Source organism: Homo sapiens, chromosome 14, assembly GCF_000001405.40.
Source record: "Homo sapiens chromosome 14, GRCh38.p14 Primary Assembly".
Classification (NCBI taxonomy): Eukaryota; Metazoa; Chordata; class Mammalia; order Primates; family Hominidae; genus Homo; species Homo sapiens.
The window spans coordinates 90847777-90873381 of NC_000014.9; the positions used below are offsets into that span (position 1 = coordinate 90847777).

At 37.6% G+C, this 25605-nt stretch overlaps 1 protein-coding gene across 13 annotated transcripts in view, besides 1 other annotated feature; it reads right to left on the reverse strand.

Annotated features, from left to right (window-relative positions):
• Window positions 1–84: 84 nt before the first annotated feature.
• The window catches only part of RPS6KA5 (ribosomal protein S6 kinase A5), a 212781-nt gene continuing 187260 nt past the window's right edge, over window positions 85–25605 (reverse strand). For all 13 annotated transcript variants that reach the window (NM_001322232.2, NM_001322228.2, NM_001322236.2 and 10 more), the window contains one exon: window positions 85–24546. In NM_001322232.2, the coding sequence (NP_001309161.1) occupies window positions 24298–24546 (249 nt within the window). In that variant the 3' untranslated portion in view covers window positions 85–24297. The remainder of the gene's footprint in view (window positions 24547–25605) is intronic.
• Window positions 1706–2472: an enhancer, noted in NCBI's record as "H3K27ac hESC enhancer chr14:91315826-91316592 (GRCh37/hg19 assembly coordinates)". NCBI's record gives its function as "activates a minimal SCP1, AML or CMV promoter by ChIP-STARR-seq in primed H9 embryonic stem cells {active_cell/tissue: H9 hESC(primed)}" and the evidence as "EXISTENCE:reporter gene assay evidence [ECO:0000049][PMID:30033119]".

The following is a 25605-nucleotide window of genomic DNA, read 5'->3' on the forward strand; positions in this document are numbered from 1 at the left end:
TTTCCAAGATCCAACATACCTACCCCCACGCCCCGAAAAGCAAACAAACAAACAAACAAACAAACCACAAGTCCAAGTCAGATATCAGGCATTTGTACATTGACAGGTTTATTCTTAAAGCTTGAACAAATACATCTTTACACACACACAAGTTGGTAAAAAGTAAGCCCTTACTGCTTTGTTAAAAATAAAACCCATACATAAAGCTTTCCGGTCAAATTCCCGAAACATGAAAACATCACATTTCTACAATACATCTGCTTTTTTGATTCATGTGTGTTTTCAACACAGCTCAACAACTCATTCCGATCTACCCAAACAAAGAGAAAACTAACTTCCAGACCATGAAGGAAAAAAAAATACATGCCTCTTATAACTGTTAAAGACAAGTAGCTATAGAATTCTGAAAATTCTCAATAAATAGTTACTAGTATAAAAATGCTTAACTCCATATAGCTCACCTTTAATCAAAGGCAGTACCAGTTATCGCTATAATAAAGCACTCAAAGAACATCGAAATAACTTCATATCTATAGCAACGAAGGGAACATGGAACATTAGCCCTCCTAAACAATTCCAGAAGAGGGAAGTTCATTATGAATTAATACTTGGAAGATTCTAGCCCAGCTAGAATAGATTTTAAAAAACTACAATAAAGTATATAAATATGAAATTCAGAAAAGCAGATAAAGAAAAGCTGTCACTTAATAACACAGGTGGCAGCAACCAAAAATATCATTCCCTCTGGGGGGAATTAATGCTAGATTAATGTGAATAAAATAAAGGAAAATGACATAAAATGAAGATACAAAATAAAATTGATCCTTGATGTGAGAATAACTGTATTCCTTGCATGTTCAGAATGTCCTTATGTTCTTCTAGAGAGACTTAGAAAAAAAAAGCCATGCAAATAAAAATCTCATTACATGCCAGCTGAGTGACTTGCAAAGGTTTGCCCCAGAAGGGCTTTTTAAAGAGGCTAAAGACATTCTAATTGCCATCCAAATTGATGTTTACACCAAAATAAGAAGAAATCATCTACTCCCAAAGCAAATCCTATCTATGGACTTCATAGAATCCCTTATACTTTGTAACATTTTCTGCTTCCTTCTTAAAAACCTAGGGGGAAGGTGAGCTCCTGGGACATAAATACGCAGGGAAAGAACCTCATTAAGCCAGGCAGAGGATGGCAAAGATCAACAAAAGAAAAGAGTCCACCGCACTCCAGCCTGGGCAACAGAGCAAGGCCGCATCTCTAAAAAGTAATAATAAATAAAAGGAAAAAGATGCAAGCAAATTTCTGCAAATAGAAGCGTTCACCCCACAGATGAGAAAAGGGGACTCAGTCGTAACCAGGAGAGCCCGCGCAGGCACCTTGGTGGTCTGAATCTAATAGATGCCACTCTCAAATTCTGAGGAGGATGAATTAGCTACTGCTTATCAGGCAACTAACAGAGCCGGCAACAGAAAGGTTACAAGGCCACCTTCGCAACCAGCCCTTTGAAACTGGAAACAAAGTTTTGGCCAGAGATGAACACGCACCCATATGTCTGAAGACAAAAGTTTTTTAAGAGGGCACGGACTCCGGATCTTTTATCTTATGAATAGATCCACTTTGGTTGGTAATTCTTCTGCCTGACAGGCTGCCTTGGGCTACTACACAGCTGATATGAGTGGACAGCAAAGAGCTGTGTAAACCTGTCTAAAACAGTGCACTTGGTGGCTACATACGGCTAATCGCTGCTAGTGTTTAGAGTCTGTGGCTGACTCATCTCAGTACGGTGACCTGGACTGCAGCAAGATCGGGCACAGCTTCCCTTAGGTGGGAGAAAGAAGGAATACCATGGAGGTGTGTGTGGATGTGTACGCACACAGGAGAGAGTCGGGGCTGGTGGGGAGGCAGAGAGAGAGAAAGGAAAGGCCAAAAGGAAAGTTAAAGGGATTTACTTTATTGATGCTAATGTAGGGGTCAGCTAACAGTAACAAGCTACTACTATTATTTCCCAAAGATGGAACAAAGGGTGACGTTACCCGTTGATGCTAGATGATGTCCTCAAACCTGACGTAGTAAAGGAAAATCAACACATTGTCTCACAGCTTTCTTACCTGGCAGCTGGCACCACATTAGAATCTCCATGGCCGTGCATGGTGGCTCATGCCTGTAATCCCATCACTTTGGGAGGCCCAGGTGGCAGGATCGCTTGAGCCCAGCCTGGGCAACACTGTGAGACCCCACCTATATTTAAAACAAAGGAATCCCCAGTCTCTTTGAAGTATGTGCCTTAGAAGGAAAGTTTCAGGACACTCTGGCACTTTTTTTCTAGTCTGGGAAGGGATCTGTGGGCTTTCTACAAGGGAGCAAACAACCTCAATTCTTTCCTCTGGGATCCCGTCAGCTTCTCCTTCCCCAGAGGTCCTGACATTGCTTACCAGCCATTGACCTGAAATGAACTGCTTCAACGTGTTCTGAAGGACCTTTAAATAAGAGATGGTAATAAATCCAGCTGCTACAGAATGACAAGAAGAACAGTCATGATTGTAGTCAATTTTAAAAATAGACATCCTTTCCCTTCTTGCTCCCTCCCATAAATACTAAATGGAAGAAGACACAAATAGAAAGAGAAGAAAGTATTTTTAATCTATTAAGAAAATGAAGAAAACAACCTAATCAATGTGGGAAACCATACAAAAAAAAAAAAAAAAAACAGAAAATATTACATAACCAGGCCTTTTAAATAAGGATGGAATTCAATAAAAAACTTAAAATGCTTACATCTTCTGAAATAACCCATGATTAGCTCCAAGTTTTAGAAAGTTCTTGAACAAAAGGTACACATCAAAGTAGTGAGGTAGCAGCCCCCACTTTCCCAAAAAGTTTTCAGGAAAAGGCTGCACAAGCACCTGTTGGTGAGGTCACCAGGAAGGAATCTGCTTCCGGCAGGAAATTGCACTGGGTGAGCTCTAAGGCTCCTAAACTCTAAGATTCTCGTATGTGCTGAAAACACTGCTATGACGACAGTTTGATCTGATCATCTATGCATTCCTCTGAAATAAATGAAGTCAATTCAAATAAGACATTCTACAAATTAGCCAAGCACAATGATATATTTTAAACCCACACTCAGACCGACAGTGTACACCATAAATTTGTACTAGAACAATACCCATAAATATAAAAAATCTACTTAATTTTATACTTTGTTAGTTCCTACTTCAAAATGCTAGTCAATATTCACTACAGAGAAGTGGGTAAAGATACTTTTATTTTATTTTTTTTTTGAGACAGAGTCTCACTCTGCCCCCCAGGCTGGAGTGCAGTGGCGTGATCTCGGCTCACTGCAAGCTCCGCCTCCCGGGTTCATGCCATTCTCCTGCCTCAGCCTCGTGAGTAGCTGGGACTACAGGCGCTCATCACCATGCCTGGCTAATTTTTTTGTACTTTTAGTAGAGACGGGGTTTCACCGTGTTAGCCAGGATGGTCTTGATCTCCTGACCTCGTGATCCACCCTCCTCAGCCTCCCAAAGTGCTGGGATTACAGGAGTGAGCCACCGCACCTGGCCTGGTAAAGATACTTTTAAAATTAAATTGCTATATAACAGAAAGTCTTCATTATTAAATATCATTCTACCCATCTTTGGAATCAGTGTACCTTATGGATTTTTTTAATCCTCTTTAATCGATCCCTCAGTATGCTGGTGAGACAGGGAGGCACAGGTTAACCCCATTTTACAGATGAAGAAATGGAGGCAAAGGGAGGCTGAGTGATTTGCTCAGGGTCACCAAGTCTGCAGCTAAGCTGGAAATAAAGTACCAAACTGCCTTTTCCACAAAATCCTCAGTAATACTCAGAGAGAGTGTCATATCTAGTACATTTTACTCTTCACTTAAAACCAAGGGTTCAGGGAAAAAGGAAGGAATTAAGTGAGCTCTTTGGGTAACCTTGTTTTCTTCTAGAGGATGAAGGTATTTCTCTTTAGATACTGGTAGATATCATTAGTAAAAACTGAATGGTTTTTACTAATAAAGCTGGGCACAGGCCAAGGCAGACATGAATGACAGGCTTTATCTTTCATGGCTCAGTTCTCACAAGAGGCTCACTGTACAAGGTCCAACTTTGCATCTAACTTCAACACACAGCCTTCCCAATCATCTCACAGCGTTTATTTGAACAAAAAAGACAGAATTTAATATATTCGTTGATCTAAAGAAATAAACAGTATTATTCAGTAATAGTCCTAGTATATAAAAACGTGGCATTCATCTACAGCAAAGACAAATTATCGGTATCTTTTCTTTAAAAAATCACTTTTTTTTTTTTTTTTTTTTTTTTAAGACGGAGTCTCGCTCTGTCGCCCAGGCTGGAGTGCAGTGGTGTGGTGCGATCTTGGCTCACTGCAAGTTCTGCTTCCCGGGTTCACGCCATTCTCCTGCCTCAGCCTCCCAAGTACCTGGGACTACAGGTGCCCACCACCATGCCTGGCTAATTTTTTGTATTTTTATTAGAGACGGGGTTTCACCATGTTAGCCAGGATGGTCTCGACCTCGTGATCTGCCCGCCTCGGCCTCCCAACACTTTTGTTTAAAAAATGGAAATTTCTTCTAAAATGGTTTTTCAAAGCTATGGCTCATAAGGAAATAACTAATTGTCAATGTCTAAATACCTTAAAAAGAAGCATATATGTAAGTATTAGTCCAATCATGTGAAACCCAATAAAACAAGATTTGATTTGAAAACATTTTCAATGAAAAGTGCAAAGGTTAAGGGAAAAACAGCATCTGATATGTGCACCCTATTGTAAAGAATTGGTATTTAATGCTGCAATGGAGTACTAACCACTAATTTCCAGTTTGCCACATGAAAGGCATACTTCCAACTTTTATTTTATCCACATTAAAAGTATTTGTCTTTAAACAAAAATAAATTCCAGTTAGCCTTTGCTGGGAGAAACTTTTTTTTTTTTTTTTTTTTTGAGACAGAGTCTTGCTCTGTCGCCCAGGCTGGAGTGCAGTGGCGCGATCTCGGCTCACTACAAGCTCCGCCTCCCGGGTTCATGCCATTCTCCTGTCTCAGCCTCCCCAGTAGCTGGGACTACAGGCGCCTGCCACCACGCCCGGCTAATTTTTGTTGTATTTTTAGTAGAGACAGGGTTTCACCATGTTAGCCAGGATGGTCTCAATCTCCTGACCTTGTGATCCGCCCGCCTCGGCCTCCCAAAGTGCTGGGATTACAGGCATGAACCACCGTGCCCGGCCTGGGAGAAACATTTTTAAGTGTGCAAAGCAGTCACAATGAAAAAAGCCCCGGATGTTAGCAAAAAGAGTGAATGTGTTTGCCGTTCTATAAATAAAATGAGTTCACTATAAAAAAAATTGTTATGATGCTTTACTTAATTTGCCCATTTCTCAACATAGGCTTTGAAAAATTCCTCTAAATGAAACAACTTTATAAGGGATGAAGATGTCATAATGATATTTTCCACTGTAGAAACTTCTTAGGTTATCACTCAAAAAACAAAACAAAAGCCAAAACCTAGCAGAAACAAATGACTAATCAAACTAAAATTTCAAAGAGTAGATTCATCAAACTAAGATCTCCCATTAAGACATCAACAATGAAGTGGCTAATAAAAAAGTAAGCATCACATTTATGATGTCTAGATAAAAGTCAACCAAATAAATAAGATGCATCCCTTAAGTAACAACAATAAAAAAAAAACCCAAAAACAAAACAAAGCATCAATGGATGTTTTAAATACCTAAAATTTAGGTTGGGCACAGTGGCTCACGCCTGTAATCCCAGCACTTTGGGAGGCCGAGGCAGGCAGATCATCAGGGCAGGAGTTCGAGACCAGCCTGACCAACATGGTGAAACCCCATCTCTACTAAAAATACAAAAAAAAAAAAAAAAACCCTAAAATTTAACACTATGAAGTCTCTATATTAAATCAAAATCGTAACCATCTTGAAAGCTAAATTAAAATAATCCTGGAGCTCTGGAATGTTATTCCCTCTTAAAGCTGTATTAGGTCTTTAGGAAATCAATGTGGTGTTACTAGTTTATGTGTATCCCATTATTCATTTAAAAAGAAACGAACACAAATATTTCACACCCTTTTTCTTGATTAATCATTTGTACCAGAGAAAACTCTGTATATACCAGTACAGGTGGGGGATTACTGGCAGGGCAGATAGTCGATTTAAGGAGTGAGGGGCAGTCTTATTAATTTGGTATTGTAAGCCCCCAATACATGTGTGTATACACATACATAAACACACACCTATGTAATTTTCACAAGACCAAACTATTAAAGTACCTAGAAAATAGAATATTTTTTCCTCTAAACTAAGATATCTGTTTATATAGACTATTGATGCAAACTAATTTTAAGTAATTATAGTGCAAGGAGCCTGATGTATGAAGATTTGACATTGTAATTTATAATTCCTAAGTAATTATTAAATGATTAATGTTTAATCATTAATCATTTAATAATAAATGGCTACCAGATTTAGAACAAAACTTACTGTAGCCATTATAATCTGCTAACGTTTGAAAAACTTAACATGAAATCAGCACAGAAACTAAGTTTTTAGAAATAGCCTACATAATGAAGATTATGTATTATATAGTCACAAATTTTTATTTTAGATTTCACAATGTACACTTGTCTCAAGTAAGTCTATTTAACTAGAATTTTTAAAGACTTGCGATTTTGCTAAATGTATCATCATTAGAAAAAGTTTTCTGGATGTGTATATGAGCAGGGTTTGATTATTCTGACATCAGAAAGCCAACACTAGATTCCACAGCAAGGACACTGGAATTTAAAAATCTGGAATACTTTAACAGTAGACTTTACTCAAATATCTAAAAGACGTATCAGACTCACTCAGTAAAAAATATACTATACTTACTACAAATACATTATCTTCTAAGCCCATTCTTATTTTTAAAAATATGTACAACTAGACTAATGATGCCAAATACTTACACAAGTTCATGCATTTTAGGTGTGCTTTATTCAAAATATATTATTAAAAAATGTCAATACCTAGTTACTTCAAAAAATACCTTCAAAATGTTTACCATTCAAAACATATAAAAAGCACTGACTTTATTGTACTGCAATATAAATTCTTCACATAAAGATTTTATGTAAAACACTCTGCAGTTAGAAACAATCTTATTTACATTTTCTATAAAAGTATTTTGAAGTTTTAAAAGTCTAATCGATTTTTTTCAATACATTTCATCTCTTTGCTTTGCCAGGAACAAAGTTTCAAGTGATATCTCCATCAGCGAATAAAAAGATGTATAAGTTCACTCATATTGATAAAACTTTTGCATTCAAATGAATACAGATTATCTAGGATAAAGATATTTCAAATGTATATGATGGGGCTAAGGGAGACATAGCTTCTGACTACTTAGTAAAATGGCAAAATCATGAATGGCATTAATTTTCTGCTATTTTAAAGGTATTATGTTTGATGAAAAGACAACTGCTATAAATGACTTTCTGAATAAATATTTCAGCTAACTGCACAAATGAGCCTGCTTCTGAGACAAAGTTAACATAGGTAAGATGAGAGAGATTTTAGAAAAGTGCTCACCAAAGAAAAACTGAACTCAAACAAAGGCCTGGTACTTACATTATTTTTTATTTTTTATTTTTTTGAGACGGAGTTTCACTCTGTCGCTTAGGCTGGAGTGCAATGGCGTGATCTCGGCTCACTGCAACCTCTGCTTCCTGGGTTCAAGAGAGTATCCTGCCTCAGCCTCCCAAGTAGCTGGGCCCACAGGCACCCACCACCACGCCCAGCTAATTTTTGTATTTTTTTTTTTTTGAGACAGAGTCTTGCTCTGTTGCCCAGGCTGGAGTGCAGTGGCGCGATCTCGGCTCACTGCAAGCTCTGCCTCCTAGGTTCACGCCATTCTTCTGCCTCAGCCTCCCGAGCAGCTGGGACTACAGTCATCCGCCACCACGCCCGGCTAATTTTTTGTATTTTTAGTAAAGACGGGGTTTCACCGTGTTAGCCAGGATGGTCTCGATCTCCTGACCTCGTGATCCGCCCGCCTCAGCCTCCCAAAGTGCTGGGATTACAGGCGTGAGTAGAGACAGCGTTTCGCCATGTTGGCCAGGCTGCTCTCAAACTCCTGACCTCACGTGATCCACCCGCCTTGGCCTCCCAAAAGGCCGGTGCTCCCATTATTATAATGAGTCCCAAAGTAAGAAATTAAACTTTAGGGCAAAGATACAAGTAATGATAAGCTGGATATGATCACCATGGAAACATACAGCACTTTGACATCTGTCCGAGCACTACCCAATAATGGGAAAAGTATGATTCCCAAGGAGGTTCCCTTTCTCTGTTAAGCTGGAACTTTGGTGTTTCCTGTAAGAGGCAAGTTTACTTTGTCCCCAAGAGCTTAATCTCTAGTTAGAAAAGATTTTCCAACCATAACATAACTATGCTTCAGAGTTGATGCCAAAGAAAGGGGGGCAGGATGGCATTCTCTGAATAGCCAGGTGTTAGTACTGACTTCCTCAAACTAGCTACAGCCTTTCTAGCTATGCGTGATTTTTTTTTTTTTTTTTTTTGAGACGGAGTTTCACTCTTGTTGCCCAGGCTGGAGTGCAATGGTGCGATCTAGGCTCACTGCAACCTCTGCCTCCCGGGTTAAAGTGATTCTCCTGCCTCAGCCTCTCAAGTAGCTGGGATTACAGGCATGCGCTACCACGCCCGGCTAATTTTTGTATTTTATTAGAGATGGAGTTTCTCCCTTTTGGTCAGGCTGTTCTCCAACTCCTGACCTCAGGTGATCCACCCGTCTCGGCCTCCCAAAGTGCTGGGATCACAGGCGTGAGCCACTGTGCACGGCCTGTGTGTGATTTTTTAAAATATAAGATAAAATTCATTTTAAGTGTACCATTCATTGTTTTTTACTACATTTACAATGTCTTGCAACCATTACCACTACCTAATTCCAGAACATTTTGATCACCCCAAAACCCCATCACCTGTATACATTGTCACTCCCTATTTCCCCCTCCCACCAGCCCCTGAAAAACACTAATCTTTCTGTCTCTATGGATTTGCCCATTCTGGACATTTCATGTAAGTGGAATCATACAATACGTGGCCTTGTGTGTCTGGTTTCTTTACCTTTAACTGGTAGTTCTTCAGCCATTCCAAAGGGGCTACAATTTCGAGAATACCAAGCCACAGGTGCTCAAGATGGCGAATCTGTCCTCCCAGTGCAGCCTAGTTTCTATGGAGCTACCATATATGACAGTGTCCTATTATTGCTGCCTTTTGATCACATGAACATGGATCATAATCAGAAGTACAAACTGTTATCTCTGGAATACGTCTTTGTAATAAAAAAAAATCCACTGGATAAAGTTTCAAAAGTGGGAAAGAATAACAAAGACAGGAATAGAATCCTTGATCTGACTATAATATTTTAACAGTGACATGTGCCCAGATTATATTTTTATCTTGGTAACACTGAAATTTATGCTATTCTGGAAGACAAAGACCACCAAGCCATTTTTTGGTATCACGAAGCATTTAATAAGTGCTTAGTTGCATCTGAAATGTTTTTCAAAAACAGAAGTTAAAATGGGAAACCACAGTAGGATGATTCTTCATCAGATTTCATGTCGATATTCATAAAGAGACATAATTTCAGAGCTAAGTTTGTTCTCCATAAATCAGTTCCTGGAGTTTCAACTCAAATTGTCAAATAATTGTGCTCCCGGTGAGATTTTTATGTAACACAGAAACTCATAGTTAGGGAATTGGGCTTGCAAAAGGTAGGCCAAATATTGATGTAGTGTGGGTGAACTGTGAACTGCATTAAGCTCTACAGAGTTTTTTCAAAAGGCTAAAAATATTTATATAAAGAAGATGTAATCATCTAAAAGATTCCAGTCTCTTTTTTCTCACTCCCAACCCCCACACAAGAAAAGTCTATTTTAATTACCACAAGTCCGACTCGGCAACCATTTAGTAGCCTTTCTATAAAAACAGGCTGCAAGTGCCAAAGTGACACAGATCTTATCTTAAATATTGTTATATTGCTTGTGTCTAGAGTAATACCTGGCCTGAAAGAAGTGCTCAAAAACTATTTAATGGACAAAGGAACAAATGAATAAACCGGGTGCCTTCACATATGACCATGTGACAACCAAGTTATCAATGCCAGAAGCCACTGCGGAGAAATCAACAATGGCGATTAAAAATGATTACCACCAGATTTTTGCTTTTGGCCACAATAGAGTAGCTTGTGATTGGACTAGCCCTCCTACTGAAAACAACGATGAAAGCTATATTAACCCTTTTCCGGTTTAGAAAAAAAAAGTACAGCTCACTGCCAGCATTCATTTAATTTTACGTAAACACATTCTTTGAGGCTAAAGCAAATCTGACTGATTTTCAATGTGAAAATAAAATATAAAAACTGTTCTTGATGTTATTTCTAAACAGATCTAGTATCAGAAGCATCTGAATCATCAAAATCATCTATTTCAGAAAAATCGAATTCATTAAATAAATCTCTGTCCAAGAACTGTTCGAGAATGATGTTAACATCACGTGTAGGAATGCTACATTTTCTAGGATTCGACATTTTCAGCGATCGAGAATTATTATACTTTGTAAATGGAAATACCACTACTAAGAACAGAATGCTATAAAGAGAACGATGTCCTTTTTTTCTGAAGTCAATATACTAGAGCTAAACGAAAGTAATAATAAAAGCGAGAGTTCGTGGCAAAGTTATCTTGGGGTAAATACTGCAGCAGCAAGTGCTGCTGGCAAGTATTCTTGGGGCAAACAGGAAAAGGGTTAAGTAGAACATCTTTTATAGGCAACAGGGAGCAAACCAATGCAGGGAGAACTTGACGAGCTGCAATAAAATAGCTGAAAGGAGGGAAAAAAGGGAAGCACACTTTGGTGAGCTCTGTGTTCATTTTGATTACTTCTTCAAGGCACTGCAAATTCACAACACAGGGAAATAAATACCTAGCAGCAAGCAGTAATCCCACTTGGTTGAAGAGACAAAAGTTGGAGCTTGGGAAAGTAGCTAGGACTTAAGGGGCAAAATCCCAGAGCGAAGAAACCTCAGGGAAGTGAGCCTGAAATACTGGTACAGTATCTCCTTGAGGTGTCTGCCAATTGCAGACTCCTGTGCAACAAGGTGAGACTTCAAGAAATCCAGCAAAAAGCAGCAGATGAGAGGCTAACGAGCTGAGCAGCTCTTAGTACTGAGGAGGGAAAGGTTGGAATTCAAGGTCACCGAGGTGAAGTGGCCCTGATAAACACCCTAGATTTTCAGATGAGAGCCCAAAGAGGCCATATGCTAGGAGTAAGAGCAAAACTGAAATGTACAAGCCCAACAAAGTCTAAAACCAACCTTCAATAGGATTACAGTGATATGCCTGTATTTTATCAGACTGCAAGAAGAAAACATAACCATCTTAGAGGAAGATAACATCGTTCAAAGCCCCTACAGTATTTAACACACAATGTATGACATTTCACCAAACTTATAAGGCATGCTAAAAAACAGCACCAAATGACTGACAACAGACAATGGAAACAAACAACTAGTAGTAGTAATCAGACACTGGATTTCTCAGACAAGAGTTTTAAAATTACTTTGATTAATGTGTTCAAGAATATAGAGGAAAAGACAAGATATGATCAGAGACTTGGCACCTACAAAAAAGTGTCATGGATATTTTAGAATCCAAAATATAAGATATACAACTAAATTTAAAATTGATTAGGCTCAGCAGAACAGGATAAGTTAATTAGGTCAGTAAAAACTATACAGATTGAAGTACAGGGAGAAATTAAGATGGCAAACAAAGGACTATAACAGACATATGGAACATAGTATAACACACAATCCTAGAAAACGGGAGAGAGAAAACGGATTGGAAAAAACTATTTGAAGAATGACTGGTTAAGAATTCTAATAAGGAAGGACATCAACCAACAGATTCAGGAAGTTTACCAATCTTAGGATGGATGAAGCTGGAAACCATCATTCTCAGCAAACTATCAAAAGATCAGAAAACTAAACACCGCATGTTCTCACTCATAAGTGGGAGTTGAACAATGAGAACACATGGAAACAGGGAGGGGAACATCACACGCTGGGGCCTGTCGGGGGGTTGGGGGCTAGGGGAGGGATAACATTAGGAGAAATACCTAATTTGGTGACAGGTTGATGGGTGCAGCAAACCACCAGGGCACGTGTATACCTATGTAACAAACCTGCACGTTCTGCACATGTAACCCAGAACTTAAAAGTATAATAAAAAATAAAAACAAAGACGAAGAGAAAATCTTAAAAGTGACCACAGAAAAAAGACACATTACCTTCAAAGGAAATATAACTAATGGCTTTTTCCACAGAACTTAAGGATTGGAATGATATCTTGAAAATGGTGAACCTAGGCTGGGCGCCAGTAGCTCACACCTGTAATCCCAGCACTTTGGGAGGCCGAGGTGGGCAGATCACTTGAGGTCAGGAGTTTGAGACCAGCCTCGCTAATGTGGTGAAGCCCCATCTCTACTAAAAACACAAAAATTAGCCAGGCGTGGTGGTGCATGCCTGTAATCCCAGCTACCTGGGAGGCTGAGACACAAGAATCACTTGAACCTAGGAGGTGGAGGTTGCAGTGAGCCAAGATTGTGCCACTGCACTCCAGCCTGGGTGACAGAGTGAGACTTGGTCTCAAAAATAAAATAAAATAAAATGGTGAACCTAGTATTTCATACAAGGCAAAAATATCCTTCAAAAATAAAGGTAACATTGAATTGTATCTGAATGGAATGATTAGATGGGTATATTACATGATACATGAATTTTATCTTAAAAAAATAAAAATACAGAAAAATAAAGGCAAAAGAAAGAAGGTTTCAAAAAACAAAAGCTGAGAGAATTCATTGTCAGAAGACTGGCACTAAAATAAATACTAAAGAGAATTCTCCAGATGAAGAAAAGTAATCCCAGATGGAAGTAAAAAAGGCAGGATGGAAAGAAAAACACCAGAAAACATAAATATGTGAGCAAACAAACAATATAGAGTCTATTTTTTTTTTTTTTTTTTTGAGATGGAGTTTCGCTCTTGTTGCCCAATCTGGAGTGCAATGGTGCGACCTTGGCTCACTGCAACCTCCCTCTTCCGGGTTCAAGCGTTTCTCCTGCCTCAGCCTCCCAAGTAGCTAGGATTACAGGCATGCACTACCACTCCTGGCTCATTTTTTGTATTTTTAGTAGAAACGGGGTTTCACCATGTTAGCCAGGCTGGTCTCGAACTCCTGACCTCAGGTGATCCACCTGCCTTGGCCTCGCAAAGTGCTGGGATTACAGGCGTGAGCCACAGTGCCCAGCCAGAGTCTTTAAAATATATAGTAGTAGTACTACTAATAAAAATAATGTCGGCCGGGCGCGGTGGCTCACGCCTGTAATCCCAGCACTTTGGGAGGCCGAGGCGGGCGGATCACGAGGTCAGGAGATCGAGACCATCCCGGCTAAAACGGTGAAACCCCATCTCTACTAAAAATACAAAAAATTAGCCGGGCGTAGTGGCAGGCGCCTGTAGCCCCAGCTACTTGGGAGGCTGAGGCAGGAGAATGGCATGAACCCGGGAGGCGGAGCTTGCAGTGAGCCGAGATCCCGCCACTGCACTCCAGCCTGGGCGACAGAGCGAGACTCTGTCTCAAAAAAAAAAAAATAATGTCTTATGAAGTCTAAAACACATATATAGAGATAAAACATACATAGAATGTAGAAGTAAAATACATGACAACAATAACATAAAAGGAAGAAGGGGGAATACCTGTAATCCCAGCACTTTGGGAGGCTGAGGTGGGCAGATCACGAGGTCAGGAGATCTAGACCATCCTGGCCAACATGGTGAAACCCCGTCTCTACTAAAAATACAAAAATTAGCTGGGTGTGCTGGCTTGTGTCTGTAATCCCAGCTACTCGGGAGGCTGAGGCAGGAGAATCGCTTGAACCAGGGAATCAGAGGTTGCAGTGAGCCAAGATCGTGCCACTGCACTGCAGCCTGGCGACAAAGACTCCATCTCAAAAAAAAAAAAAAAAAAGGGGAAAACAGATTTAAACTGTCATAAAATTCCTGCATTGTTGGGAAGTGGTAATGTACCAATTTAAGGCAGCAAGTCAAAGATACAAGCTGTAATCTTTAAGGTACTAAATGAATTTCTAAAAATTACTAACGAACTAACATAGGAGGAAACAATGGACAAAAGAAAATATTTGGTTTATCAAAAGAAGACACAATACAGGAACCAAGAGGATATAGGACAAAAATGTAAAAGAAATTGTAAGATGGTAGACTTAAAACCAATAATAATTACATTAACTGTAAGTAGACAAGATATATTCCAATTAATGACAACTTTCCCACAAAGAAAACTTCTCATTCAAGTGGCTTCAATGGTGAATTATTTTAAACAGGAGGAATAATATCAGGTGCAAACTCTTCCAGAGTGTAGAAAAAAAGGGAACACATCTCCAACTTTTTTTTTATGAGGCCAGAATAATCTTGATACCAAAACTTGACAAAAATATTAAAGACAGAAAAATTACAGGTCTGTCCTTCTTCTTCCTCCTCCTCCTCCTCCTCCTCCTTCTTCTTCTTCTTCTTCTTCTTTTTTTAATGCTAGGCTCCTGCTCTGTTGCCCAGGTGGGAGTACAGTGGTACAATCTTGGTTCACTGCAACTTCTGCTTCCTGGACTCAAGTGATTCTCCCACCTCAGCCTCCCAGGTATTTGGTACTACAGGTGTGCACCACCATCCTTGGCTAATTAATCTTTTGTAGAGATGAGGTCTCTCTATGTTGCCCAGGCTGGTCTCCAACTCCTGGGCTAAAGCAATCCTTCCTCTTGGCCTCCCAAAGTGTTGGGATTACAGGTGTGAGATACCACACCCAGTCTAGGTCTATCCTCCTTATGATCCAAAAATCTTAGGCAAAATATTAGCAAACTATATCCATTGATATATGAAAAGGGCAATACATCATGAAAATGGAATTTATTCTATTTTCAGCATTTGAAAATTGAAGAATAAAGAAGAAAAATACAAGATTATCTCAACAGAGGCAGAAAAAGCATTTAGTAAAAACTCTCTGAAAATTAGAAATAAAACAATCTGCTATATGATATCTATAAAAAAATTAAATAAAACATAATATTGGGCTGGGTGAGGTGGCTCATGCCTGTAATCTCAGCACTTTGGGAGGCTGAGGCGGGTGGATCACGAGGTCAGGAATTCGAGGCCAGTCTGGCCAATATGGTGAAACCCCATCTCTACTAATAATACAAAAATTAGCTGAGGGTGGTGGTGCATGCCTGTGGTCCCAGCCACCCGGGAGACTGAGGCAGAAGAATCACTTGAACCTGGGAGGTGGAGGTTGCAGTGAGCTGAGATTGAGCCACTGCACTCCAGCCTGGGTGGCAGAGCGAGACTCCGTCTCAAAAAAAAAAAAAAAAAAAAAAAAAAAAGAAAAGAAAAGAAAAAAATATATATATATAGAATAGAAAAATATTGAATTCTTATTCTGAGTTGAAGAAGTTTAAGGAGTCCATTGTCATTACTTCATTTAGCATGTTATTGGAGGTCCTGATCAGCTCAATAAGGCAAGAAAAATAAAAATTGAAAAGGCAGAAATGAAACTGTCATTATTTACAGACGATATAACTGTAGACTTAAAGAAATCTAAAATAATATACAGATTAGAATTAAAAAGTGAATTTAACAAGGTTTCTAAGTGAAAGGGTAATATACCAAAAAAACTATATTTCTATAAACTAATTAAAAACAATTTGATAATAAAGTAAAACTGTCAAAAACCTAGATATAAATCTAACCTCTACATGTAAATCTATAAAACACTGGTGAGACAAATTAAATACCTAAGTAAATAGAGGGATATACCATGTCCATGCATTGGAAAACTCAAAATTGGTAAGATATAATTTCTCCTGAAATTGATTTATACATTCAATGCAATACCAATTAAACCCTAACATCCTCTGCCCCCAAAACTAACAAGGTGATTCTAAAATGTATATGGAAATGCAAAGGATTAAGAATAGCCAAAACTATTAGAACTATTAGATAAAAGTTAGAGGTCTTACACTACCAGATATGAAGACTTCATAAAAATTACAACTCAGCTTTTCAATACATTGTGCTGGGTCAAGTTAATACTCATATGGAAATACATAAACTTTGGCTACTATTTCACATCATATACAAATATCAGCAGTAGATGGACTGTAAACCTAATGTGGATGGTAAAACAATAAAGCTTTTAGTTTTATTTTTTGAGACAGAGTCTCGCTCTGTTGCCTAGGCTAGAGTGTAGTGGCATGACCTTGGCTCACTGCAACCTCTGCCTCCTGGGTTCAAGCGATTCTCCTGCCTCAGCCTCCCACGTAGCTGGGATTACAGGCATGCACCACCATGCCTGGCTAATTTTTATACTTTTAGTAGAGATGGGGTTTCACCATGTTGGCCAGGCTGGTCTCCAACTCCTGACCTCCAGTGATCCACCTGGCTTGGCCTCCCAAAGCACTAGGATTACAGGCATGAGCCACCTCACCCGGCCAATAAAGCTTTTAGAAGAATATAAGAATATCTTCATAACCTTGGTGTGAACATTTATTAAATACGACGCAAAAGTATTAGCAATTAAATAAAAGACTGGTATATTGGACTTCATAAAATTTTTGGTCATCAAAGGAAAGCACTTAGAAAGTAGAAAAGCAAACTAAAGAGAAGACATTTATGGTAAAATATCAGACAAAAACCCTCATATCCATAAAATATAAAAGACTCCTGCAAGTCAGTAAGAAAAAAAGACAACCCAATAAATATGAACAAATGACTTGAACAGGCACTTAATTGAGGATAGCCAAATGACTAATAAAAATATAAAAAGGTGTTCCACACATCACTACTTATCAGGAAAATACACCTTAAAATCTCAGTGAAATACAAAATCACCAGAATGGTTAAAACCACAATCAAATATACACATTTGTCAGAGTGGCTAAACTACTAGGGCTGATGGTACCAAGCACTGATGAGGATGTGGAAGAACTAGAACACTTACACATTATTGGTGGGTATGTAAATTGGTACAACCATTGTTGAAAACCATTTGGTAATATCTTCTACAGCTAAATATATATTCATCTTATGACTCAGTAGTTTCACTCCTTTTTTTTGTCTGTTTTTTTGAGACAGGGTCTCACTCTATCGCCCAGGATGGAATGTAGTGGTGCGATCAAGGCTCACTGCAGCCAGCTGTTTCACTTTTAAGTGGACACACAAGAGAAATGAGTGTACGTGTCCATTAAAATATATGCACAAGAATGCTTATGGCTGCTTTAAACACAAAAGCTAAAAATTACAAACAACCAAAATGTCTATCAGTGGGAGAATGGATAAATTGTGATGTATTTATCTGATGGAATACTACAGAGCAACGAAAAAGAACAAACTACTGTTATTGCTACATGCAACAACATAGATGCATTTCACAGACATAATGCTGATCAAATTAAACCAGACACAAAAACCTATAGACTGGATAATTCCATGTATAGGAATGTCAACAACAGTGACAGAGGTCAGAGTGGTGGTTATGTATGAGGACTGACTGGGAGCCTCATCTTGATCTGAATGATGGTTATATGGGCGCATATATATGTAAACATTTATTGAGCTGTATATTTCAGACCTGTGCACTTTACACACCATGTTGCAATAACATTTTAAACAATATGATCACTATCTATATGTAGTTTTAGTGCTCCATTTGGACTGGTCTCTGGCCACTGGATGTCAGTGTTTGGAGCAGTGGGCAGCAGGAAAAGCTGGGGAAGGAGTGGGAAAACAGAGGAGAGAGCTATCACATGGGCTTCCTAGAGAAAAATAAGCACTTTATGAAGCTTATAAGTTCCTTTATGTACACAGTAGACAAAGCCTTTTAAAGAGATTTGTCCATACGGGCACTGAAATAACATTTTTGTAAAGTAGCCTTCTCTATGTTGATTGCAGATGTTTCTATCTCAGAATTTAAGTCTACTTGCTTTCTCACACAGCATCATTATTTCCTTATTCCTAATAATTTTCATCACAAACATTTCCCAGCTCTGTCCCAATCAAGTTCTTATTTCTCTGAACGGAATTACAATTTATAAATGTAGGTCCACATGCAGATATCTTAATAAGTAGTGAAATACCAGTGTAGAAATACACAAATGAGTGTGGACACACCATAGAAAAGCAGAAAAATACGAGAAAAAGTGCATGTACGGAGTATGGGATGAACTGATGCAGTTAAGGAAGACAACTCACAAAGCAACTCACGGCTGGGCAAAGCTGGGAGGCTGAGGCGGGAGGATTGCTTGAAGCCAGGAGTTTGAGACTAGCCTGGGCACCATACTGATACCTTGTAGCTATTAAAAAAAAATTAGCTGGGCATGGTGGCTCATGCCTGTAGTCTACTTAGTCAGCTGCTTAGGAGGCTGAGGTACAAGGATTGCTTGAGCCCAGGAGGTGGAGGTTGCAGTGAGCTGTGATCACGCCACTGCACTCCGGCCAGGGTGACAGAGTGAGACCCTGTCTCACACAAAGGCAACTCATTTGAGCTGAGGCTTGGCTATACTTTTAATTGTCCACATAGAATAGAGGAAAAACAATGTTTTTCATCTTTTTTAATCTTCCATTTACCTTTTAGTAAGACAAATTCTTATCTTTATGTAAAACTGTGGAAGAGCAGTTACATAGATTGTTGCAGCTTAGATTATTTTCAAGAAGTTTAAATTCTACACATAAGGATACATACCATTTTTACCAGCTATACTTTAAAATGCCAGTCTTTAAAAATTCCTCTATGTGTATATGTGGTTTCTTCTTCTTTTCAAAAATTCATGCCTGTGAAGTTTTTAGGAATATTTTTCAAAACTTTAGTACTGAGGCATTAACTGTTTATGTGACACAGCACCTTTAAATTTCTGTTTTTATTCAGCCAAAGAATGAGAATTATTGTACATTGCTAGTATTTATAATTTCAGCAAATAGGATAGCAGTATAGTACCTAAAATAAACTATTAGGAATAACTGAATGCCTACCACAGCAACAGAGCTTTAATGAGGTTAATTGTCACATACATATCCATTCCAACATAGCAGTGCACATTTCACATGACCAGCCTCTTATGTAGTTAAAAATAAAACTGCAGTTTTAAAATGTCAAGTTCCTCAACCTTACTGGATTTTAAAACAAAGCAAACAAAAGAAACAAGGATTTTCTAATCTATCTATAAGCAGAAATGTCAGAAAATAAAGCTACAGTATTCCATAAAACTTAAAATTTCCTTTTCTAAGTCATGACATTTCTCTTTTGTTCTGTTTTCTTTTTCTTCTAATATTAAGAAAATTTAAAACGTAAATGAAAAAACTGCTTAATGTGGCAAGGAACAAGAATGAAACTAGATTTTTTTTTTTAGTAAAGGGGCAAATTGTATACCAACATATAAATTAAAAGTGTTATGCAATGAGAAACAATAATGGAAACAGCATAATACTACATACTATCCCAGTTTCCTGTGCTCTGAAGAACAGCTGCTATACTAAATACTAACTTGACTTATCTGAAGTATTCAATACTTTCTGATAACCCAAGCAGCATTATATTAATAGTTAGAATACTACTACAAAATGTCCTTCTACCTCTCCCACAAGAAATACACCAGGAAACTTAAGCCTGATGAATAACTACTAAGAATCTTGTCTTTTAATACAAGTCTCCTTCTAGACACAAAATCCTAGCTTTTTGTAATGTGGTTAAAAGGAGTAATGGAAAAGAAATGACTGCCAATAAACATTTCCTATTTTGCACTAGGGTGAAGAAACCAAGACACAAACATTTGGAAGCCACTTTAGTTTCTTATTCCTTTTCACCCTAATAGTAGGAAAATATTAGGCACCTACTTAATTCACAAATTCATGAAACAGGGTGGACAACAGCCTTGTGTAGGGGAAGCATTTGGAATGGTAATCAACTACTTAATTACATAACAGGGAGCTGGGCATACAAAGAAAAGGGCTCAGAAGAAATATCTTGAAAAGTAAGCAATATAGAAGGTGAGGACAGAAGTGAGGCTAATCAAATGTTCTTAGCAAGATGTTGCCCCCCTGAAAATATGCTCCCCCAATAAAACACGTAAATAACTACTCTTAAGGAAAATATTTTCTCTAAAGAATGTCACAATTTGGAGTGAAGTTACTTAACAAAACAGGGAATAAAACCTTTAATGTTGGCTGTAGCAGTTATTTTCTTTGGGTAGATTATACTTAAAATATTTCCTTCATACATACTTCTGTTAAAATTTTTTTTTCCCATTCTTGAGTTTTACAATGTCTCCTATCCAAACTTCAAATTTCATTAGAGCCGGCTACATTTGTTTTAGTGCCAGATACAGGTATCAAGTGATGACAGACACTTACGTGAGGTATACAATCAATTAAAGACTGGAAATTGGGGTATTATCATGTAAGACATTTGAGAGGCCAAAAGTCATATAATTTTAAGATACTTCATGATGTTACAGTAATAATTCATCTATATAACAATTATTTTGACATAAGTGGCATATCAGAATTTAACTTATTTACTTAGATCTTAAGGAATATTAGATGTATTCTCACATGAACACTCAAATCATGCTATTATTATCAGTCACTGGGAGAACAGCCAAAGTAATCAGGCAGTCTAAGGCACATATAGACCCAATAATTTAGAAATTTTCACCATTATGAGGTACCCTGTTTTTAATAAATATGACAATAACAGGCGCTTGAAATGGGGGCAAGGTGAATAAGTATCCAGTCAATTGTATACTTTTATAAAGTAGTGTATTTGAGAACATAAACTGAGATACAAAAGGAATTTCCTTACTTTAAAAAAAGTGACTTCTATCTTAGTAGATTTCTTTAAAATAACTTACCTTATATTTAAAAGTTAGTCATTTACATACTTAAGAAATCAACAGTAATCTAAAAAAATTAAAAGGCAGTTTTCTTGGGTAATGAACCTGTGACTCCAAGACAGACAACAATGTGGAAATTAACTCAGGAGACTGACTTTCTATTCTAGTAATTCAGTGGTTTCTTACTTTATAAAGGTTTGGAAGAATTAATGAATTTCTTTTTTTCTTAAGACAGGGTCTCGCTCTGTTGCCCAGGCTGGAGTGCAGTGGTGTGATCACAGCTCACTGCAGCCTCGAACTCCTGGGCTCAAGCGATCCTCCACATGTTGGCCTCCCATGAGCCACCATGCTCAGCTAATTTTTATTTTTATTTTTGGAGAGACAGTGTCTCACTATGTTGCCCAGGTTGGTCTCTAACTCCTGGTTTCAAGTGATTCTCCAGTCTTATACTCCCAAAGCACAAGGATTACAGGCCTGAGCCACCACACTCAGCCAATCAATTTCAAAATGCTAATTAACCTCTTTCAGACACACGATCTGGCAGAGTAATTAGAAGAAACTGGTCTTTCTTAACATCTTTCCTCTATTATCTTCCTTTTCTTATTCTTGCCTCTCAATTTGTCATATACAGTTACAAAATATATGAATCAGGATTTATGTTGGCATGAAAATTATATGCAATACAATCAGTAAGTGAAGAAGGGAGGGGGTGGTGTGGCTCTAGTCCCAAAGTTAATGTCATAAGGAGAAATAATGTAAGTATTTGTATTTCTTAGATCTTCTTCTATTTTACTCTTAATACCAAAAAAAGAGTCCTATCATTTAACTTTTTATATATTTTGTAGTGTTTATTTTTGATGTGACCAAATGAAAGCTTTCTGAATTTTAAAGTGCAATTCACTGTATGTTAATACACAGCCTGCATAGGACCTAACTGCTTCAAACTTGGCATCAAATGCTGTCTTTTTGGTACTTATAAGTAGGGTGTAGATAAAGATATTTGACAAGAGTGCAACAGTGTTTGTTAAGGTCTTTTCAAAAGCCCATTTGAGATTATTCAGGCAGGCTCATCAGTTGACAGCTAGCCTATCTTTCCTTCTTCCTGTTAGTCTGACTGCCTTTTTACCCATTTCATCGCCTGTCGAATCCTCCTCAAGAAGAGGCAAGGGAAATAAATGAAAATGAAACCCATTAATTTCCAATATTCACAATGAAATCAATCACATCATCAATCTGTATACTGTCTGACCATTTTTCTGGATCATTTTCTATTAGCAACATAGTCCCTTTAGTTTGTACTTTATAACTAGTATTTTCTACCAGGATGCACAGTTTAAAAAATGGCTTGAAGAGCCAAATATGTTCCCAATATGTCCAATATAATTATAAATATGGTCATTTTCTTGATTACTAGAGATCTGTGCCTGATGGAATCACATTTTGTGAATTAGCAATAGTTTGGTAATAATTCACACAAAATTTCCCATAATTACTAGGAATAACTGAAAGCTGGGAGTAGAAAACTTTCATTAACTCAATATTATGTAGCCATTTGGGCCAGCAAAAAGTGTAAAATATTATTCCCAATAACCACTGTGGACAAAATGTGAACAGGATAATATAATATTTTGAAAATATTTTAATATTTGCCATTTTTTGCCTGTGCTATTAATATATACATTGATTTAGTAATAAATATACTACTATTACATAGAGTGCAATATTTTTAGTATTCATAACTGGTTGAAATTAATGCTGCTATAACCTCAAGAAAGGAATAAATAAATATCATGTCCAAATTCCAAACTAATGCTCAAAAGGTTATCATTAACAAAAACTATAAAATAAACATGTTGGGCATTATCTCTTTAAGCATGATTCCTGTAAACAAAGCAAAAAAATCACTTTTCTCAGTCCTGACATTTCACATGATGGCTTTAAAAGAAAATATAACACACAAACCCTATCACTTCTTTTTTTTTTTTTTTTTTTTTTGCATAGGGAACGAATTAATTGTATTTTTAAATGCAGCAATCTTTTAATGAAATGTTTTCATCACATAGTACTTGTTTTCTGTATGAATTCAGAACTTTTGAGCAATAAAAGTGCTCTGCATAAGTTTATAAAATATGCTTTCTGGATTTAAAATTTAACAGAAAAATTTCCAAACAAGTCATAGGTATGATTCTAAAATATTATGTACATAATATATGACTACAGGAGGAAATTCCTCACTGTAGTACAACACAGTGTACAAATATGAAGCACAGTGTTTAGTTTAATTTCCCTTTAGGTTTTCCTCACATTGGTGCATAAGTGGCTGACTACATGACACAACATGCCCCATTCTACTTGTTGCATACAAAGTAGAAGAGGAATGTGAGGACAAATTTAAAGTAGAAAATGAAAATAAATGGCAAAAATACAGTGCAAATGCTTTAAACAGTGCACTTTATAAAATAGTTTGCTTTATTCATACTTTTTTATAAAGTGCAATATTACTTAAAACAGAGAGACATGTACCTTAATATTCTGCAATAACCATTAAAACAAATTGCCAGGAAAGAGCAGTGCAAAATTAAAAACATACACATAGCTTAGCATGCATCTCAGATGGATCCCGAATACAGAGTATGGGACCTTGAGTTCTTATATCTTTTTTTTTTTTTTTCACTTTTTAGAAAAAGTTTAATAATAGCAGGTTATCATCATATGTAACCATAAAATAAAAACAATAAGTTAAAATCTTCTCTCAAGAAATAAGTATATGCCACACATAAAATTCATTACAGAATCTTTTTTGAAAACAGACCCCTTTCTCTGATAAATCATTGTTTGAAGGGTGCAAATTTCAAAAACCCACATTGTCCACAAGGCAAAGCAAAAGGTATCATCACAGTATGAGTCATTTCTTGTTGGCAGACATCTGGAAAACCTGTGACTTACAAGCAGCTCAAATCTAGCCCTAATTAAATTTACAGGAACCTTTGCTCTTTCAAGAATAGTCTTGTTGGCATCATGCTAGGTTGCTAAAAAGAGTAATATGTGCTCTATTCACAGTAACATTCTCTGTCCAGTGCTTTTGAATGAGGATAACCAAACAGGTTTTCCTGAAAAAAATCATTAGGAGGCAGATTCCAATGAGACCAACGGGAAACATTTTTAAAAGCATAAAAGATCGCCTCAGGCATATGCTGAGGGAATAAAGGTGCAATGGATCACTGATACACTCCTACCATGCCTAAGCTACTGAGTCCGAGAACTGGAAGAGGGTCTCCGGGTTATTGCTGTCGGCAGGATTGCTGGGCTGCAGTGTCTTGGTGGGTGTAGTTTTACCGTGAGAATGAGAGGAAGAAGAATGGGAACTCTCACTGGAACTGCTGCGCGTCTCGGTACTGGTGCTAGTCTTTTTCATTTTTCTTCTCTTAGCCAAAGGGGCCTTATCAACATTCTGAAGGCAAAACCCCTCTCTCTTGTATTTGTTAAAGGCCTGGCGGGGGAAAAAAAGGGAACCCCTGTGAAGGTAAAAGTACTGAAGCTTTCCTAGCAGTTATGACTTACAGCAGAAGACAACTTTCCATTGGCAACTGCAGCCCCAAGTTGTTTTAAGGGAACAAAGCTCTTAAAACCTTTATATCTAAGTCTATTGGCAGGGTGGAGAAGTTCATGGGAAAAAAATTCTGAGGGCTCTGTTTATATCAAACTAGCTAGGCGGTCTGAGAGTCACAATTCTAATAAATCTTTTGAAGAAGTTAGTACTACATCCTAATACGAAACAATTGACTGGAAATTCCTGAAGACCATCAGTAATCTAAACTATCCCCATTGCTTTTACTGGTTCTGTGTCTAAGATTTAAAATTCTGAACACAAAGTCCCAATGCAAGCAGACTTGACGCATTCTGAGTCTTTGCTCTTCAGTCCCATTCAATGTCATTTGGATATATACTGGACACTTACACGCATGGAGAAGCACAGCTCTACAGCTTTGCCCTGGCTTCCTCCTCCTGCAGCCTGTCTTCACTCTCCTTAGCCTAGGCTTGGATAATGCTGCAGTTACACCTTGTAGTTGTCACCTTGCAACCTATGTCACTGAGAAGATTTGGATCATCTGATAGAAATTCTTGCAGTTAATCTCTTTACCATCTCAACATTTCCTAGTTTATTACTTTTTAAATCCATTTCTGCTGCTGAAGAAGCACTATCCCTATACCTTCTCCTTTCTCAAAATAATCCCTTTGAAGGTGACTTTCTGTTTCCCTAACTCATCTTATACTATACTTCACATGAATTATCTTAATATATTTGCATCTGCTTGGCACAAATGTGCATAATCCACAGTTTCTACCAAATAGTCTCAGTCTTTCAAACATACAATCTATACTTAATACCAATGAACTTACTTCATATCCCTCCCAGTTTTAAGAATGTGTGATGTACTAAATGGTTGTAAAATGAATGGACTTTCAAATATGCCTTAGTTCCTAATGTTTATTATGGTTTTTAAAGAAATTTAGTCAGTCTATTTGAGAGGAAAAAGTTCTATTATCT